The following is a 6,104-nucleotide window of genomic DNA, read 5'->3' as shown; positions in this document are numbered from 1 at the left end:
TTATGGCTGTTTTATTCATTTCTACATCCCCAACTAAACTGTGATCTCCATAAGGGTTAAGGGAACAGTCTGATGTTGTTCACTATTGTATTGGCACCCAGCAGATATGTGTTTAATGAGTGAATAAATGAATGAACAAATGGAAGAAGAAGTGATAATACACAAAGAAATAATAATACACACAGAAGAAATAAGAGAAAAAGCTCTTACTCTAAGGTTATTAAATTCTGCTTGGGAAGATAAGGCCTAAAAATACAAACGTGTCAGAGACACTGTAGTAGAGTATTTGACATCATGTGCTACATAGACGAAAAGAGATCAAGGGGCCAGACATTGTGGCTCACACCTGTAATCCCAGAACTTTTGGGAGGCTGAGGTGGGAGGATTGCTTGAGCCCAGGAGTTTGAGACTAGCCTGGGCAAGATGTTAAGACCCTGCCTCGATAAAAAAAAAATTTTAATCATCTGGGCGCAGTGACACCTGCCTATAATCACCAGCTACTTGGGAGGCTAAGGCAGGAGGAATCCTTGAGCCCAGGAGTTCGAGGCAGCAGTGAGCTGTCATTGTGCCACTGAGCTCCAACCCGGGCAGCAAAGTAAGACCATCTCTAAGAAAAAAAAAGAGAGAGAGAGAGATCAAGAAAGTCATATAAGGTATGTTTCATGAAGAATTTGGAGAAATTAGAAGTATTTTCATGAAAAGGAAATTTGAATGGAGAATTGTATTAGTCAGGATTCTCCAGAAAAAGAGAACCAGTAGGACATATAGACAGAGGGAGACTTATTTTGAGAAATTGGCTCACGCAATTATGGAAGCTGAGAAGTCTCATGATCTGCCATCTGCCATCTGGAGACCCAAGAAACCCAGTGGTGTAATTCCAGTTCAAGTCTGAAGGCTCAGAATCAGGGGAGTTGATGGCATAAATCTCAGTCAAAGAGCAAGAGAAGACCAATATCCCAGCTCCAGATGGGAGGCAGGAAGCAAAAAGGGGCAAATTCTTCCTTCCTCCTCCTTTTTGAAAGTTCTATTCAGGCTCTCAGCAGATTGGATGATGCCCACCAACATTAGTGAGGGCAATCTACTTTACTAAGGCCACCAACTCAAATGCTAATCTTATCGAGAGACATCCTTAAAGACACATCCAAAAATAATGTTTAATCTAGCACCCCATGGTATAGTCAAGTTGACACATAAAATTAGCCATCACAAGTCCACCCCTTGTCAACATGGCACCCATGCACATCTCCTTAAACCGTAGTTAATCTGCAAATAAAGACAATAGCACGATCATAATTCCACCTAACATGATACAACTATCCAGCATACAACTAAAAACATACTAAACCATTCCTCAGAAGAGGAGGTAAAGTCCTTGTGTGATGTTTACTCTTCTCCATGATATCCCATAACTTAAATACTTAAATAACTTAAATAGCATAAATGATATAATATTAGTAACTTAAATACTGTGATAGAAAGTTACAGTATAAAAGAATAAGAGGAAAGAAAATGCACAAATGTATTCATAGCAAAATAAGGAGAAAATACTCATGACACAGTTTTTGTTTCTACAACTGGTTACATGGTCGTAACTGGTATTTATAAATACCTTCTTCCACTACCCCTCCATATTCCCCTTGCCTTCAGCAAGCACCTCAGCTGCTTGTGATTCTCTACCCAACAGGTGACCCAAACCTTCATTCCTAAAGTCACAGCAACATTCATAGTCCTGCCTGGATTAGGTTGTAGTTTTCCATTTACTCTAATTACAGGACAATGTTAATACTAAGAGACACCCTAACAAATCTCCTGTATTCCAAATGTATTCTTCCTTACCTTCATGTAGAGTAGTAGTTCAGTTTCCCCTTGGCAGGAAGGATCAGTCACCCCAAGCTAGCCTCATAACTCCCTTCTTTGCCATCGATTCAGTGGCACAAGGAGCCGAAAGTGGCCAGGTAGCAGTCAACTTGCAGTTAAGTGGAATCATTATGTCTCTTGGTGAAAGCATTCTTCCCTCTGGAACTAAGACCTCTAGGCTAGTAAAGCATAAAGTCATGGGAACAGGAAGCCAAAATTTTGCTAGTGGTATTACTAGGGGTAATAGTGTACCATTCTCATTTCCATCCCTTGATTCCTGGGCCCTTGAATCCTGGCTATCAGAGAAACCATGCCATGTATTGGATACTGATTAAGAGCATGTACGGACTTCTGAAGAACCTTCCCCAGCCCTGCAAGGTATTGCCACCTAGCTGGTGCTATAACTAAGTCTTCAAAGGGCTATTCCATTGTTCGATCAATCCACCTGGTTCTGGATGGTAGGGAACATAGTAAGGCCAGTGAATTCCGTGAGCATGGGCCCATTGCTATACTTCTTTGCTGTGAAGTGAGTTCTTTGGTCAGAAGCAACGGTGTGTGGAATACTATGACAGTAGATAAGGTGAATCTGTAAGTCCACAGATGGTGGTTTTAGTAGAATCACTGCATGCAGGGAAAGCAAATCCATATCTAGATAGAGTGTCTGTTCCAGTGAGAACAAAATATAACCCCTTCCTTAATGGAAGCAGCTCACTGTAATTAACCTGCCACCGGGTAGCTTCCTGATCACCCTGGGGAATGGTGCCACATCAGGGACTCATTGTTAGTCTCTGCTGCTGGCAGATTGGGTACTCGGCAGTGCCTTTAGTCAGGTCAGCTGGTGAGTGGAAGTCCATGTTGCTGAGCCCATGCATAACCTCTGTTTCTGCCACCATGGCCATTTTGTTTATGAGCCCATTGGGCGATCTCAGGAGGTCAGGATCATCAGTATCACAGTCTTCCACCTCCACAGTTTGTTCCACTGAAAGGTCTTCAAGGGCAATAACACCGGTGGAGCTGTCATCTCCTATGATAGCGATGCTTTCTTCTTGAATACCTCTTGAAGGACCTGCCTGAGGCTGTTTTATAGTTAACTTTTTTTTTTTTTTTTTTTTTTTGAAGCAGAGTTTCACTCTTGTTGCCCAGGCTGGTGTGCAATGGTGCGATCTCGGCTCACTGCAACTTCCGCCTCCCGGGTTCAAGTGATTCTCCTTCCTCAGCCTCCCGAGTAGCTGGGATTACAGTCATGCACCACCACGCCTGGCTAATTTTTGTATTTTTAGTAGAGACCAGGTTTCTCTATGTGGGTCAGGCTAGTCTCGAACTCCTGAACTCAGGTGATCCGCCTGCCTCGGCCTCCCAAAGTGCTGGGATTATAGGCATGAGCCACCACGCCCAGCCAACTTTTTTTTTTTTAATTAAGGAGTACAATCTAAAATAATGATAAAAAGTATAGTGTCATTCTCAAGTATTATGTAGTTCACATAATTATATATGCTATACTTGTATATGACTGGCAACACAGTAAGTTTGTTCATACTAGCTTTACCACAACTGCTTGAGTAATGTGTGGCACTATGAATTAGAATAACCACAGTATCACTGGGCAATAGGAATTTTTCAGCTCCATTATAACCTCATAGGGCCACCTTGGTACATTCAGTCTTTCATTGACCCAAACATCATTATGTAGCATATGACTGTATATGTATTTTATACTTTGGGTTATTAAAAATACTGTGTTATTTATTTTGTTGCTCAAATTGTTTCAGCTTTGGCCACTGGGAGCTCTTTAAGGTTGGCTCCTATTGTCCCTTTGACATGCCCCCATTATTTTGTGTTTTTTGGGCACTTTACTTTCTGATGCTATTCATCTTTTATTTTTTCATTGCCCTGCCCTCATGAATAAGCCATTTCTCTGAGGGTTCTTAGTTATAAATGGTATTTGGAAAGCAAGATCTAAGTACTGAGGGTCTAATTGCTACTGGGTGTCACTAATTCTAGGACCTTGGCAGTTGGAGGTAGGTAATATATGTATGCTATGCTATGTATACACACCTATCTGTAATCATTCTGAATCTATCCATCTGTGTGTGTATATGTACATATATGTATGTGAAACTCTACCTAAATATGAGTTCATACTGATGTTTCTGGCTCTAATCCAGCACTAGAGGGTTTATCCTATGCTTCCCTTCTTGCTTATTTGTAAATGCCCTCTGACAGCATGAAACCTGGCTCCCACAATTCATCTGTTTACTTATTTGTTCAACCCCAGGATAGATGTAAAGCAGTTTCAGAACTGATTACCCAAACCCCAACGAGAAAAAAATTACCAAATACAGTACAGTGTTAATGTACAGTTCCATTTATCTTTAACCTTATGTTTTCCAATTAAAATCTGGGATACATATGCAGAGCATGCAGGTTTGTTACATAGGTATACATGTGCCATGGTGGTTTGCTGCACCTGTCAACCCATCATCTAGGTTTTAAGCCTGGCATGCATTAGGTATTTGTCCTAATGCTCTCCCTCCCCTTGCCCCCCACCCCCCAGCAGGCCCCAGTGTGTGTTGTTCCTCTCCCTGTGTCCATGTGTTCTCATTGTTCAACTCCCACTTATGAGTGAGAACATGCAGTTTTTGGTTTTCTGTTCCTGTATTAGTTTGCTGAGTATGATGGCTTCCAGCTTCATCCATGTCCCTGCAAAGGACATAATCTCATTCTTTCTTATGGCTGCATAGCATTCCATGGTGTATATGTACCACATTTTCTTTATCCAATCTATCATTGATGGGTATTTGTGTTGGTTCCAAGTCTTTGCTATTGTAAATAGTGCTGCAATAAATATACATGCGCATGAGTCTTTAGCTGGAGGCATCATCCTATTTGACTTCAAACTATACTACAAGGCTACAGTAACCAAAAGAGCATGGTACTGGTACTAAAACAGACATGTAGACTAATGGAACAGAACGGAGACCTCAGAAGTAACACCACACATCTACAACCATCTGATCTTTAACAAACCTGATAAAAACAAGCAATGGGGAAAGGATTCCCTATTTAATAAATGGTGCTGGGAAAACTGGCTAGCCTATGCAGAAAACTGAAACTGGACCCCTTCCTTACACCTTATACAAAAATTAACTCAAGATGGATTAAAGATTTAAATGTAAAACCCAAAACCATAAAAACCCTAGAAGAAAATTTAGGCAATACCATTCAGGACATAGGCATGGGCAAAGACACCAATAGCAATTGCAACAAAAGCCAGAATTGACAAATGGGATCTAATTAAACTAAAGAGCTTCTGCACAGCAAAAGAAACTATCATAAAAGTGAATAGGAACCTACAGAAAGGGAGAAAATTTTTGCAATCTATCCATCTGACAAAGGTCTAATATCCAGAATCTATAAAGAATTTAAATGTATAAAAAAAAAAAGAAACAGTCCCATCAAAAAGTGGGCAAAGGATATGAACAGACACTTCTCAAAATAAGACATTTACGCAGCCAAAAAACATATGAGAAAAAAGCTCATCATCACTGATCATTAGAGAAATGCAAATCAAAACCACAATGAGATTCTATCTCACACTAGTCAGAATAGCGATTAGTAAAAAGTCAAGAAACAAAAGATGCTGGTGAGGCTGTGGAGAAATTAGGAACACTTTTACACTGATGGTGGGACTGTAAACTAGTTCAACCATTGTGGAAGACAGTGGTGATTCCTCAAGGATCTAGAACCAGAAATACCATTTGACCCAGCAGTCCCATTACTAGGTATATACCCAAAGCGATACAAATCATTCTACTAAAATAAGTTTTAAGTTACTTAGGTCAGCTCCTATTTTTCCCTAGGTCAGCACCTATTTTCCCCAGCTCCTTGAGTACAGTTTTGTCATTTGTTTTTAATACAATCAGATTCATTTGTCACAGGGTACATTCCATCCTGGAATCCCTGACATTCTGGTTGATTTTGTTGTTTTTCTACTTTAAAGTTCACTCTTGGTAATGTACAGTGCTATGGCTTTTAACAAATGCAGAGTATTATAAAAAGCAGTTCCTTCATGTTACAACTTCCTCTGTATACCCCTCATTTTTTAATTTTTATAGATTTAGGGGGTATAAATGCGGTTTTGTTACATGGATATATTGTGGAGTGCTGAAGTCTGGGCTTTAGTGTACCCATCACTCAAATAGTGAACATTGTACCCAGTGGGACATCCGCCAGCCCCTAACCCCTGG

General features: G+C 40.4%; 1 protein-coding gene across 12 annotated transcripts in view; it reads left to right on the top strand.

Moving 5' to 3' along the window:
• Positions 1 to 6,104, top strand: part of CCDC191 (coiled-coil domain containing 191) — a 92,477-nt gene that overhangs the window by 55,335 nt on the left and 31,038 nt on the right.

The sequence above is a fragment of the Homo sapiens genome, chromosome 3 (genome assembly GCF_000001405.40).
Source record: "Homo sapiens chromosome 3, GRCh38.p14 Primary Assembly".
In the NCBI taxonomy this organism is placed as follows: Eukaryota; Metazoa; Chordata; class Mammalia; order Primates; family Hominidae; genus Homo; species Homo sapiens.
The sequence above is the reverse complement of the archived record's forward strand: the minus strand, read 5'-3'. Positions and strand labels throughout refer to the sequence as shown.